Source organism: Homo sapiens, chromosome 14 (assembly GCF_000001405.40).
Source record: "Homo sapiens chromosome 14, GRCh38.p14 Primary Assembly".
Lineage (NCBI taxonomy): Eukaryota > Metazoa > Chordata > Mammalia > Primates > Hominidae > Homo > Homo sapiens.
In genome coordinates, this window is record NC_000014.9 from 35,947,503 (window position 1) to 35,962,938 (window position 15,436).

Consider the following 15,436-nt stretch of genomic DNA (forward strand, 5'->3'; position numbering starts at 1 on the left):
TTTAAACTACAATATTGAATCGATTAAACTTAATTCAGGATATAAATAGTAAACATGGCCAGGTGCAGTGATTCATGCCTGTAATCTCAGCACTTTGGGAGGCTGAGGTGGGAGGATTGCTTGAGGCCAGGAGTTCAAGACCAGCCTGGGCAACATAGCGAAACCCCATTGCAAAATAAAAAAAAAATAGTAAATACATACCACAGGTTTAATAGACAGTATAAAATAATCCAATTATTACACATTTATGGGCATGAATCTTATCATATGGAAACAGAGGCTCAGTGAAGTTAAAGAGACTTATCTAAATACTGAACGACTAATTGGTTTCAGAACCTAGACCACAATTGTTTGAATCTAATTCCACTTCCATGGTTTCTTCATTGTATCACACTGCCTCAAAAGTAGAAGATGTGGTCGCTGCCCTGAAGGACTTTTGCAATCTCCTAAAGGGATAAGACATATCCATAAAACAATGATTGAATAACGAAAGTAAAATGAAGTGCAGTATATGTGTTACAGCTAAGGAATAGTTGGGAAGGTCAAGAAGGTGAGAAATCACAGGCTGGAGGATATGGAGAGTAATCACAGGCCAGAGGACACGGAGAGTAATCACAGGCCGGAGGACACGGAGGGTAATCACAGGCCGGAGGACACGGAGGGTAATCACAGGCCGGAGGACATGGAGAGAAATCACAGGCCGGAGGACACGGAGGGTAATCACAGGCCGGAGGACACGGAGGGTAATCACAGGCCGGAGGACACGGAGAGAAATCACAGGCCGGAGGATATGGAGAGTAATCACAGGCTGGAGGATATGCAGAGTAATCACAGGCCAGAGGATATGGAGGGTAATCACAGGCTGGAGGATATGGAGAGAAATCACAGGCCGGAGGACACGGAGGGTAATCACAGGCCGGAGGACACGGAGGGTAATCACAGGCCGGAGGACACGGAGGGTAATCACAGGCCGGAGGACACGGAGAGAAATCACAGGCCGGAGGATATGGAGAGAAATCACAGGCCGGAGGATATGGAGGGTAATCACAGGCCGGAGGATATGGAGAGAAATCACAGGCCGGAGGACACGGAGAGAAATCACAGGCCGGAGGATATGGAGAGAAATCACAGGCTGGAGGATATGGAGAGAAATCACAGGCCGGAGGACACGGAGAGTAATCACAGGCTGGAGGATATGGAGAGTAATCACAGGCTGGAGGATATGGAGAGTAATCACAGGCCGGAGGATATGGAGAGAAATCACAGGCCGGAGGACATGGAGAGAAATCACAGGCCGGAGGATATGGAGGGTAATCACAGGCTGGAGGATATGGAGAGAAATCACAGGCCGGAGGACACGGAGAGTAATCACAGGCTGGAGGATATGGAGAGTAATCACAGGCTGGAGGATATGGAGAGTAATCACAGGCTGGAGGATATGGAGAGTAATCACAGGCTGGAGGATATGGAGAGAAATCACAGGCTGGAGGATATGGAGAGAAATCACAGGCTGGAGGATATGGAGAGTAATCACAGGCTGGAGGATATGGAGAGAAATCACAGGCTGGAGGATATGGAGAGAAATCACAGGCTGGAGGATATGGAGAGTAATCACAGGCCGGAGGACACGGAGGGTAATCACAGGCTGGAGGATATGGAGAGTAATCACAGGCTGGAGGATATGGAGAGAAATCACAGGCTGGAGGATATGGAGAGTAATCACAGGCCGGAGGATATGGAGAGTAATCACAGGCTGGAGGATATGCAGAGTAATCACAGGCTGGAGGATATGGAGAGAAATCACAGGCTGGAGGATATGGAGAGTAATCACAGGCTGGAGGATATGGAGAGAAATCACAGGCTGGAGGATATGGAGAGTAATCACAGGCTGGAGGATATGGAGAGAAATCACAGGCTGGAGGATATGGAGAGAAATCACAGGCTGGGAGAGATGGAGAGAAATCACAGGCTGGGGGATATGGAGAGTAATCACAGGCTGGAGGATATGGAGAGAAATCACAGGCTGGAGGATATGGAGAGAAATCACAGGCTGGGAGAGATGGAGAGAAATCACAGGCTGGGGGATATGGAGAGTAATCACAGGCTGGAGGATATGGAGAGAAATCACAGGCTGGAGGATATGGAGAGAAATCACAGGCTGGGAGAGATGGAGAGAAATCACAGGCTGGGGGATATGGAGAGTAATCACAGGCTGGAGGATATGGAGAGAAATCACAGGCTGGAGGATATGGAGAGAAATCACAAGTGGGAGAGATGGAGAGAAATCACAGGCTGGGGGATATGGAGAGTAATCACAGGCTGGGAGAGATGGACATTTTTATTAAGAGCAACTGTGAAAACAGTTCTGAAAGATAAGTAGGCTTACAAAATTTTTCTTTGGTTGCCAAAGTGCCTGTTGGCTTTTTCCACATTCACCAGTGTCTTTTCTTCTCTTTTATTTCTTTTTAGTTTAAGAAAAGAAACTATCTGTGTCATACTGGCCAATAGTACACAAGCATCTAATTGTAGCAAATCCTTATACATTCCAAGTTACCCCCACAAAAAGAGGTCACCATGGTAACCAAACAAAAAGGGACTGGAAAACAGAAGCAGAGTATTTACTTAATGTCTGATGGGCTCTCTGCATGATTTTCATTAGACCTGCTGCTGGCTTTCTTTCAGGTTTGGGTGCCAGTCACTGTTTACTTTGTAAGTTGTTAAAAGATTAAAAACTTTATCGGGCCTTACAATATAGAAAATTGTACTGAGCAGTGAAGTCAGAGCTGTTGATTTTTAAATACATAAATCTTACTCAGATTTGTTAATTTATTACTTAGAGTTAACCCAGGAGCTATGTAGCTCTTGCCAGTGGAATTCAAGAGCACAGAAGGGTCATTTGATGATGGTAGAGTCTTTCAAGAATGCTACAAAGAAAGAAGGTGATAGATTTGAAATAATTTTGTTAAGGGCCCTACTATTTATTTTTGCCACCCCCATTAAAAAGGTGTAGAGAATTCTTCAGTTGATATAGAGAATTCATTGCTAAATATTTTATGTCAAAGTCTTCAATAGACCATATTAATAAATGCAATCCACTGTGCTCTAGCTAGTTTTAATCCTTTGGTGAGGAAGATTTTGATGATGAAATAGAAAGCCATGTAGGTTCATAAACTATGTCTGACATTTTCTGAATTGGGGAATAGGACCCACTCTCTTCATTCCTACTGTTGTCTTGGTACCTCTTTGAAGTGCAAAAACATTACAACTTCAAAAGCGGTCCAGGAAGATGGCGTCTGCAGCTTATGACAAGTGCTGGAAGTGTAGCCAAATATGCATCATGTCACTAGGTGGTAGGTTTGCTAGGGATCTTGACATAATTGACTTTCCTTCCTTAAAGACAATTAAAATTTGTGTACAATAAATTGTTTCAATTGACACTTGCTTTTAAAACTCAAACTCCATGTATGTCTTGCTGAAAAGTGATTCTACAATGCAAATGTCGTTCGTTGGAGAAGAAAAGAAAGCTGGATGCTTGTTTGGAAGCTTAGTAGGCAGGAGGGAGAAAAGTTATTCCATAAAGGAATAGATCTTCTATGGAATGTTTCTGCTCTGAGATATAGATCTGCCCATGTGCATATATGGAATTTGTTGTGTTGACCTAAAATACCTTCTATACATCTTTCTCAGCTAGTTCTCTTTATCTAGTAACTGAGTGTGGAATACTTGGAGCAAGATTTTCTTTCAATGAAGGGATTTGCCTCCTAGGAGTAGAGTGCACACAATGCCAGACTAATTCTGCACTAGGGTCAAAAAGAAGACAGGTAAAAAATAAATATGATTTTTTTTTTCATAAAAACAATATTTGTGGCTGGGTGTGGTGGCTCATGCCTGTAATCCCAGCACTTTGGGAGGCCGAGGCGGGTGGATCACGAGGTCAAGAGATCGAGAGCAGCCTGGCCAACGTGGTGAAACCCCATCTCTACTGAAAATACAAAAATTAGCTGGGCGTGGTGGTGCACGCCTGTAGTCCCAGCTACTCGGGAGGCTGAGGCAGAAGAATCACTTGAACCTGGGAGGTGGAGGTTGCAGTGAGTCGAGATCATGCCACTACACTCCAGCCTGGGCGACAGAGCAAGACTCCGTCTCAAACAAACAAACAAACAAAAAAACCCAAAACAATATCTGTAATAACAATAACAAAGTACACAGGAGAATGTTTACTATGTATATTTGTATTAATGCCTCAAATATGATCTATGCTATTTTTGTACTTTGGGATATATACTAATCCTTCTGCCTTCTAAATTGAGCTGTTCATGTGAAGGACAGTCATGCAGCCCTCACCAGTATCATCAACACCTTCCTCACCTTGTAACCGTAGAGGAAGAATTGGAACCAATGTAATGATTGATTCTTATTTGGAATGTTTCTGTCCCAGCCTCCCAATTTAGTCATTCTTTGGAAAGGAGGGGGTAGGTGTGAGTGAATTTTTGGAGTTAGGATCCAGTAAGAACAAGAGTTATTGAGTTTCAGCTTTAAAGTTAATGGAGGCAGATTTTGCTCTGAGGAGACGCGTTGGTGGATGTATTCCCATCCTTGAGTTCCTGCACATAAAATCTAGTCCATGCACAGAAAAGGCCACACTTTAAGGGCTTGAAAACAACACCAGAAGAATCTGGCAAAGAGTTCTTTACTGAAATTAGGGAAATTGGGAAAGTAACTTTGTCCTTTGTCTATCTTCAGGGAAAAACATAGGCTGGTGGGAAAAACAAGGGATTTCGGCTAAATCCTTTCTGATTCTTCCTACAATAGCATTTAAGTGCTTGCTTTCTAACCCTTATCAAATGATTGATATTGACTTTTCCTCGCTTAAGTAAAATTCATCCTTTGTTTAATTTCTGTCCAGTGAACAAAATGCTAGTAACTTTTTCTGGGTGTAGTCTCAACTAATAGTTTCAATTAGCCAAAAAATTTATTTAGAATCTTCAGTATGTGGCATATGCAAGATTTAAGAAATTAAATTACTCCCCTCTCCGATCTCCCTTATGAACCCCCCACCCAAAAGTCAGCACACTTTATTTCACTTGATTGCATAAAAGACCTAGCAGAACGACCTCAGCTGCTTTTTATTTTTTTAATTTGTGAGTTTGAGTCGGCTGAGCCTTGTCAATAATTCCCTTAAGTATCCAAAGGAACCCTTCTCTTTCTTTGGCTTCTTGTCTCCCACAGGGCCCATTATCTCTATTAGCCTGCCTTAGAGAAGGAAGAGACATTCACGACATGGTCTAACTTCTCTGAAGTCAAGGATGCCTTCAAAAGCAAAGTTTGGGCCACTGGGGGAGGGACTGCAGGAAAGGAGACCACAGGGAGGAGGGAAGGAATTATAAACAAAGGGACAGCTGTGTATTGGCCCATTCTTTCTGGACAATTGTGGAGCTTCTTTAGAGCCACTGAAGAAAGTAAAATCCAGAGGCACCTTTAAAAAAATGCCATTTAAGGTCTGACTTCTTAAGCTTATCTGCATAAAAAATAAGGATAAAAGAAATAATGCAAGCCAGGTGGCAAGATTCTAACCCAATCCGGTTTTCAGTTATGTTTATTTTGTAAAAAGCGACCATTACATTCTCTATTTGGCAATGATGGGGTTCAGGACATGGTACTCCAAAATATCGCACCTTGGCATTTGAGAAAACAGCAGAAGCAAGGAAGTCATTCTCACCCCGTCTGCGTTCTTCCCCTGAAGCAGGTAAGAAAACCTGGAAGGGTTTTCTGATTTTCCTCTGAAGAGGGTCATAAGACACTCATTTGAGAGGTGCCCTTCCTCTACCAGGAGGAAAGGAACATCCTTACCTCTGAAGACACAGGAACACAGAGAAGAATCTGAACAAACAGGTCTTGCTAAGTACTCCCCACCCCCATTTATTAAATTAGATCATACTTTTTATCCAATCATGTCTTCGTGACTCTCGACTTGTTTGTCAAACTTAAAAATTATAAAGGTTTACCACTTTCTTCTAGTCTTCATTTCCTTATGAAGGCTCCCGTGTTCTGCAAAAGTGATATTAAGTAAATGTGTATGCTTTTCTCTTGTTAATTCTTCTTTTGTTATGGGGGGACTCAGCCGTGATCATCGAATGGGTGAGGGAAAGATATTTCTCTTTCTCTACAGAAATATGCCAGAATAACCCAAATGGGTAAGCCAGGGCATCCCTTGGTTGCAGTTTCCTGGACCAAGACCTAAATACCCTCAGATGCTACCCCACTTAAATGATCTATGCTATTTTTGCACTTTAGAATACATACTAATCCTTCTGGCTTCTAAATTGAGCTGTTTATGTGAAGGATGGTCATGCAGCCTTCAGGTCCCACTAAGAAGCCATAGATTTAAAAACTTTAAGTTTAGGCTGGTGCTGTGGGTCAGGCCTATTATCCCAGCACTTTGGGAGGTTGTGGCAGGTGGATCCCTTGAGCTCAGGAGTTCCAGACCCGCCTGGGCAACATGGCGAAACCCTGTCTTTACAAAAAACTACAAAAATGAGCCAGGTAGGGAGGCGCCTGTAGTCCCAGCTACTCAGGAGGCTGAGGCAGGAGAATCGCTTGAGCCTGGGAGGTGAATGTTTCAGTGAGCTGAGATCGCATTACTGCACTCCAGCCTGGGCAACAAGCCAAACCCTGACTCAAATAAAATAAAATAAAATTTAAGTTTATAAAATCTTAAATAGCTTTGGGTGAAGTATGATTAATAAAGAAGGAAATTATGGAGAGAGAAAAAAGAATTTTTTTCCCTTGATTGTGTAATTTGGATTTTCTTTCCAAATAAATAGCTGCTTCCACTAGCCAGGTGGAAGCATCTACGTCTGTGACCACAATGAGGCGCTAGGAAGGTGGTGCACGCAGAGTGTGCCTTGCCCTCAGCATCTCTTCATTTAGCTGCTCCTGAGTTGTATCCTTCATAATAAACTGGTAAGAGTAAGTACAAAATAAAAATTAGCCAGTTGTTTCTCTTACTAACATGACATGAAAATATTTAATTTTCTTAGCGAATTGATGGCAAAATTCCATTTCTGAGGAGTGAAAGATCAAAGATTAACTTTATTATTTAAAAAATAACTTTTTCTAAGTATAAAATTAATTCATTTTCATTATGAAAAATTAGGGGAAAATGAATGTGACATTACATTAAAAATCACAAATAATTTATAAGACCTTCTTGCTTCATAATTAATCTAGCTTGAGGAAAATAGTAGGAAAAACTTACTAGAATTAGAAGGCGAGGAATAGTGAGGGAGAAACCTTCTTTTATATGCCTGCAAAAGAGAAAGAAAAAAAAAATTCTTAGGGCTAGTTAGTGGCTTTGGGGCACCTGTCTCTTTCCCTCTTGGGCCTAGAACTGCTGACCTGGAATATGATTCCCCATAAGACTTTAACATATGTGAGCGAGAGGATTGTGTGGAGACACCTTGGAGCTGAAGTCTTAAAAGGAAGCTCCTGTATGAGAGCTGCCCAGCACCAGCTGCTGGCTTGGTGACCAGATACAGTGAGGCACCAGGAGGGCCCCTGTGCAGGGTCAGATAGACGATGTGGGTCCCTGAGAATTCCCTCCATGAAAATCATTCGTCTTTAAACGAGATCAGAACAAGTTCTTGGGGCCTACTCTTTAGTTGGGAGTTCCCCAGTGTTATCATTCTGGAATATTTAAAAAATCATGGCTGGGCACTGTGGCTCACGCCTGTAATCTCAACTTTGGGAGGCCAAGGCGGGCAGAGCACGAGGTCAAGAGCTCAAAACCATGCTGACCAACATGGTGAAACCCCGTCTCTACTAAAAATATAAAAACTAGCCCGGCGTGGTGGCATGCACCTGTAGTCCCAGCTACTTGGGAGGCTGAGGCAGGAGGATCGCTTGAACCCAGGAGGCGGAGGTTGCAGTGAGCCAAGATCACGCCACTGCACTCCAGCCTGGGTGACAGAGTGAGACTCCATCTAAATAATAATAATAATAATAATAATAATAATCCATGTGGGTTGAGTTCATGTGTGTGTGTGTATGTACACTGTATGCTTTGGACTTTATCTTCCAGTAAAATTATAACTTTGAAAAGTTAGCTGAGGTGATAAGATATGCTATACTTTTTTTTGTATGCTATTTTTCATTTGGGAGTGGAGAAATGGTTTTCAAGGAGCTGAAGAACTAAAGTAGTATATTTTATATATTACTTCTGTATATTTTGACTTGTAGTGAGTAGCCAAGCAAAATCTTGGGCCCTCTGAGAAGGCTGAGGTTGTCATGCAAATGACCTTGCTCTGCAGACTCTCACCAGCAATTAAGGATTAGGAATCTGGGAGGCTTCAGTACTGGTTCGTCTTGATGTAAAGTTTGGATGATAGTGGGACTCTAATTTTGGGCTATTCTTCCATGTGAATGTGTGGGAATCATGTATATTTGTGAATAATTCAGAAACTCAGGGGTCTTAAAGTGAATTTTAAAATTATAAAAATCCTAACTTTTCAGTTCCTTTTATGTGTCTTCCCAGAAATATCTGTTTAGAAGGAAAACTTGGGAGCTGGTCCATCATCTTTTTTCTTTCATTTGCCGTGATTAGGGGAAGAGGGGCTACAGAATTGGTTTGGTCATCACCTCTTCATAATTTAGTTGTGATTCAAGATGTTCTCTTATGAGAAGTAGCAATATGCGGCCATAATGTGACATCTGTTTTGCACAATCAAAACATTCCTTTGCTGAGCTCAAATGCCCTTTTAGTGCTTCTGGGATAAGCCCCGAGAAAATGCTTTATCTGCTTCTGTACATCCATGAGGAAATAAACGGCTTTAAGAAAGCTTCTCAACTGGAGGTGTAACTCTAAGAAAAATTGGAACAAACGCTCACTTCATCTCTCACCCAAAATGTCTTCTGCAAACTTATTCAAAGAGCCTCAGAACCAGAAAGAGAAGGAGGCATATCTACACAATGTATCTGGAGATTGGAAGCTGGAGGCAGGATTGAATTGCCAGTGAACTTTGCACTGTGATTTCATATTGAAGTGGCTGCATCTGTGCCACCTGTGGATGGCATGATTGGAGCATTAGTCCTTGCTCAGCCTCCGCACCATTGATAACTCTGCTTAACATCGCCACAGCGGAAGCTTTGTTGGAAGCCGCAGTCACTTTGCTTCGGCAATGGTGTACATTGGTGCCCCATTCAACCTTTTTTTCTGACATTAGCACATTTGAATGGGCCACCAGTGAAGCCATTCAGCGAGAACATGCAACCGGGGTTTCTGGGTGGCCTAGAGCTGAGCTGAGAATTCTCATTAATGGACTGCAAGACTTAGCCTATTGAGGTACATGAACTCAGTGACCAAAGAAAAGTGAGACAAAGATGTCCCTCACAGGAACACGTAGGTCAGAAGTGGACAAAAGCAGACACGGACCAGTCAAAGCTATTTGATTACTGAGCTGAAAAGGGAACACCGACCGATCCCTGTGGTGGGGCAGCACAGCTGATTTGAGGGAAATCTCCAAATGCCCGCACACTCTGAGAGTGAGGCATTTACTAGAATTGCAGGTGGTGTGTGAAGTTATTTTTAAAATGTTTTTTCTTCCACTTGTCTTTGTGGTAATTTCCTATTTGACAGTACTTAGAAAAGGCCCCAAATAACTAGAATGAAAAGAAAGGGCAAAATTGAACTGGAAAAAGCATGCTTAAAAGTGAAAGGTGATCACGGGCAACATTCCCCCTACTGCTGGTCCTCTGAGCTACTTTCAAGCTCTTAGGGACTAGAAAATGTTCTTTGAGAGCCAGAACTTTTGCATGTTTAGGATTATAACTTTAATACATTAGCATAATTTCAAAACTTTTTTACTCTAAGATATAGGATAAAAAATGTAAGTATGAAATTTTGCAAAAAGATAAAGGAAAAGCATCACTGGAAAAGTTTAAGAAATCAGTTTGGGATCTATGAACATGGTCAGTAATAGCATGCTTAACTCGAATTAATCCCATGCTCTTGCTTGTTGAGGTATACATTTCTGTGGGAGATATATTAGTCCCTTGTACTCAATGTGATCTGTGCAAATATCCAGAGAGCTAATACTTAGATGCATATGAAGTTTGAAAAGCATTCTGCAATTTTTCCAAATGGCATTTAAATAACTATACTAATATTAGGTTGGTGCAAAAGTAATGGCAAAAATCGCAATTACTTTTGCACCAACCTAGTAATTCATTCCAAACCAAGTTTAATTATTAGGACTTGGTTAAAAACTTTACAGCTTCTTGAGATAGCAATATATTTTAAAATGTTCAAAATGTTGGCGTTATGAGATTTGGGGAACCTAAAAATACCTATAATCCAGTTCTTTTTATAAAAGGAAAAGGGAAGAAAATGTGTTTTTTATCCCATCATGCATAATGCAACTATTTTTTTGAGGAAGAGATACAATTTAAAAAGTGTGGCCGAGGGTAAAGGAAGAGACACGTTTTAACAAGAGTCATATCCATTTATATTGAAACAACTTCATGGAGGAGAGGACTTCAGGGTCCATTTAACCTAGCTCTTCTGTTGTATCCATAGTGTTATTGAAGCCTACAGAGGTTTAGCAGGCTGCCAATGGCCCACCCAGCACCTGGATTTAAAAGTAACACTTCATCTTGTTATGGGAATTGTTTCATTAGAGCAGTTATAAGTCGTTTCTCATTAAGGGGCTAGAATCCTTAAATTTATGATTTGTTCTGCATGTTAAATTTAATAAACGTAAAATAGATTTATATGCTGCATACATATCTGTTATGATACTTCTAGTAAATATTTCCCTAACTGTTTAAAGCTCTAGTAAAAGCTAACAAGAACAACATCAAAAGTGGCCGTTCCCCAAAAACAAACCTTTGAGACAATCTAGCTTTGCCTTTTTGAGAATTTTTTAAGTCAGTTCCCTTTCTCTTACCTTCATACTGTCAGAGGTGTTTGAACCAAAGTGACTCCATCTTTAATAGGGGCTGGGTAAAATGAGGCTGAGACCTGCTGGGTCGCATTCTAGGTGGTTAGGCATTCTTAGTCACAGGATGAGATAGGAGCTCCGCTCAAGATATAGGTCACAAAGACCTTGCTGATAAAACAGGATGCGATAAAGAAACCAGCCAAAAACACATGGTTACAAAACTGACCTATGGTCATCCTTGCTGCTCATTATATGCTAATTACAATGGATTAGCATGCTAAGCAACACTCCCACCAGTGCCATGCCAGTTTACAAATGCCATGGCAACACCCAGAAGTTACCCTATATGGTCTAAAATAGGGAGGGACCCTCAATTCCAGGAAATTCCTGCCGCTTTCCAGGAAAATTCATGAATAATCTACCCCTTGTTTAGCATATAATCAAGAAATATCCAGAAAAAAAATAACCAACCAGCAGCCCTTAGGGCCGCTCTGCCTATGGAGTAGCCATTCTTTTCTTCCTTTACTTTCCTGATAAATTTGCTTTCACTTTACCCTGTAGACTTGCCTGGAATTCTTTCTTGGATGAGATCCAAGAACCCTCTCTTGGGGTGTGGATTGGGACCACTTTCTGGTAATAATAAGAACTCTTTAATTTTCTTTTGGCATATCTTATCTAGTTCACTTCTAATATTTCTCCTTTAGGCTACTTCAAAATGTGTAGGCAAAATACTTTTTTCCACCTATGTTGTATTACTTAGAAGAATCTTCTCCTGGAAATTCTTCAACTTGAGGCTTCAGTTGTTTTTTAGTGAAGAGGTCCAGAATATGCCACACCCAAAAATACCACTTTGGCATAAGGATTACTTTAAGCTGAAGGCAACTGAAGAAACAGCAGACCCAGGAAAAGTTCTTTGCCCTCCCTGCTTCTGTCTAAAAGCAGGGCATAAATTTCTCTTTGTAAAGGTGACAGAAATTGCTATTTGTAAAAGCATTTCCCTCTCCCATTCCAGGAAGACCAGAGAGGGCACAGAGAAGAGTGTGCATAACAAACCTTTCTAAACAACCTTTATCCATCATATATTTCCTAGTCACCTTCCCACAATTTATTACACCACCCCTAGGAGCTCAAACCCACTTTCCTTTGTCTAGTCACTTCTCTATAATTTATTGCCTTTTCTTAAAATGGTATATAAGCCCCCTGTCTAACTGCTTCTTTGGGTTTTTACTTATTTTCTGTGAAGCCCCTCACACATAACATGTGAACTCAATAACTATTTATGCTTTTCTCCTGTTAATCTGTCTTTTGCCAGTTTAATTCATAGGCCCCCAAATAGTGAACCTGAGAGGGAAAAGTTTTTTCCTCCCCTACACTAGCTAATCACTAAATTATCACTCCTTTTGCTCCAATCAAGTCCATGTATGTTTTTTTACCTTCAGTTTCCAGCTGTTAGTGCATGGTGCTTCCATGTTGTCTTGCCCAATATGGTTTTATTTCATTTGAATTATTCTTTTTAGTTAAAAATTTACTTGCAAATGCTTTACTATTAGTCACACATGTGTTGGCAATGAGTGAAAATGGGCCCACTAGGAGACACTGTAACATCATCTTTGTTATTGTTTTTGGAGGGCATGGCTTAGGATTAGAAGAAATGAGAATTTGTTTATACAATTTGAAACTGTCTATTCAATAAGTAATTGAATCTTTAGGGTCTCTTTTAAGGACAATGACTTTAAATATCTAAATTTTGTTTGAAGATACTGCCAAAGCAAAGTTGGGATAAATCATCAGATTATTATCTACTGAAATTTTATCTAAATCTAAGCTTTTTATCATATAGATTAATGGAAATAGGAATTCACTTGGGCGTTCATATCTTTGTTTTATTTTTCCACCGAAGAATCTGCTGGGTTTGGATTTATTACTATATTAGAGATATAATAATAGTTTCCATTTAGCTAATAATACTATGTGTGAGAAACCATACTAAATATTTGACATGCATTCTCTAATCCTCATAACAACCCTATGAAGTAGGCACTTTACTATCTGTGTTTGACAGATGGGGAAACTTCAGCTTTGAAAAGCTAAGTAACTTGGCCATGGTTACTTGGTTATTAAGTAAGGAATTGGATAAAGAGTTCTTAGAAATGGTTTAGCCCTGGTTCCTTTAAAGAAACAAAGTCTTATTTATAATTGTATCTTTTTTATTTTTATTTTTTTTCTGAGACGGAGTCTCGCTCTGTCGCCCAGGCTGGAGTGCAGTGGTGTGATCTCAGCTCACTGCAACCTCTGCCTCCCTGGTTCAAGTGATTCTCCTGCCTCAGCCTCCTGAGTAGCTGGGATTACAGGCCCAGCTAATTTTTTGTATTTTTAGTAGAGACGAGGTTTCACCGTGTTAGCCAGGATGGGCTTGATCTCCTGACCTCAGGTGATCCACCCGCCTCGGCCTCCCAAAGTGCGGGGATTACAGGCATGAGCCACCACGCCGGGCCTATAATTATATCTTATTATGCCCTATGAGTGCCCTTTCTCTTTACTATATTAATGACACATGATGCTTTCCCAGTAGTTCAAGGTCAGTAAATGTACAGCCAAGGGCAGGGAAAATGTATATGGATATGTCAGACCACCAAGTTGTAGCTAAGACTCATGGTCACAGCGGCCTTCATGTGGAAGATGCAGGGAGGAGCGTGCTCAACTTTCAGCCCAGTGCCTGGGTACATTCATATTAGGAACTTGTTTGCCAACATTGGCAGCTGGCTAGATGGAGGTGATAAAACGCTCTTGTTCTCATTTCTTATTATGCTCACTGATTCTGACCTCTGGTCCCACAGATCTCCTTCTTTTATCCTTCAGGTGTTCTGCCCTCTGTTTTGATTTCTCTGGGACACAAATGAAATTATTTTCTGAATTGTGAAAGTCCACATTATCAACTAATGCACTGTTACTGTCACGTTTCTGCTGTTTGGATGCTTGTTCTATTGTGAAAACTTACCCAAACTTGGGGTTTAGGAAAAGGCCTTTTATAGTTTTCGTCAACTGAAGAAAGAGCAGCATTAGGTATAATTATACATTTTGATAAAGTAAAGCACAAACCTGTCATGTTTTATGTTAACAGCCTACATGATGGTGATCTTACAAATGGTCTGAAGTTAGCAGCTCATGGGAGAAGGCTGACATGTTAAAACACAAATTTACCTAATCTGACACTTCAGGTTACTCCAAGGCGGGTGGAAATTTGGCAGCAACGGCTTGTGCCATTGCCCTAAGGAGAAACAAAATATAAACCTTTTACAATCTCCCTGGGAATTTTTTTTAAAAACTTGAGGCCCAAGTCCTACCTCAGACCAACAAAATAAAAATGATCTGGGGATGGGGTTCAGGGATCGGACTTTTTAAAAGCCTCCCCAGGCAATTCTAATGTTCAGCCATAGTTGAGAAGTGCTGATCAGGCATAACGTACAGATGAAATATTATCATGTGTAACATTGTACAGGGTTCTTTGGGAGATATAGAAATCAGGAAAGACGTGGTTCTTGCCTTCAAGGAACTTTTGATTTGGATGAAAAGACTCTTGCCACAAAAATGGTTACTAATAATATAATGCAGTCACTCACTGTTAGTAAGTGATGTCATAGTTTTAGTGGAGACTGCTTTCCAGAGTGTGTAGCTTCCAATCCCTATCCTCCTACCATCAGTGATAATAATTGCCTCCTGAGATTTTATATGCCCCATTTAATCTTCTCAACTGCTTATCAGTTAGGTATTATTCCCATTTCACTGCAGAAAAACTAAACCTTAAAGATATTGTTGTTTGTATAAAGTCTGAGAGACAAGTTTTGAACCCAGGTCTGTTGGGAACAAATATCCACGCTTGCTAACCATTAGGTTATACCATTTGGTCTCGGTAGATGCATAGTCGATAATAGCTAGAGTGAACTGTAGGCCATAAAATGTTTCTGAGCACTTTAGTATAGTTATATTTCTTAATTATTTTTTTAAACTGCAAATTAAAAAAAATTAAATCACAGAAAAGTTGAAAGAATAATACATTGAACATTGTATACCCTTTACAACTACATCCATCAATTATTAACATTTCACTACCTCTGCTTTATTTTGCTCCCTATTTATTTATTTACTTATTTAGAGACAGGGTCTCACTCTGTCACCCAGGCTAGAGTGCAGTAGCGCAATCTTGGCTCGTTGAAACCTGCGCTGCCCCTGGGCTCAAGCAATCCTACCACCTCAGCCTTCTGAGTAGCTGGGACCACAGATGTGCACCACCACTCCCGGCTAATTTTTGTATTTTTAGTAGAGATGGGCTTTTACCATGTTGTCCAGGCTGATCTTGAACTCTTGAGCTCAAACGATCCACCTGCTTCGGCCTCCCAAAGTGCTGGGATTATAGGTGTGAGCAACTGTGCCTGGTCCCCATTTATTTATATATGTATATATGTATCCTTTTTCTGTTATTATTGAACCACTTGAAGTTG

The 15,436-nt window shown here is 40.8% G+C and overlaps 1 annotated feature.

Moving 5' to 3' along the window:
* Nucleotides 272-1,471: an enhancer, noted in NCBI's record as "CDK7 strongly-dependent group 2 enhancer chr14:36416980-36418179 (GRCh37/hg19 assembly coordinates)". NCBI's record gives its function as "activates an origin of replication core promoter dependent on BRD2, BRD4, P300/CBP, MED14 and CDK7 cofactors, with strong dependence on CDK7, by STARR-seq in HCT116 cells {active_cell/tissue: HCT116}" and the evidence as "EXISTENCE:reporter gene assay evidence [ECO:0000049][PMID:35650434]".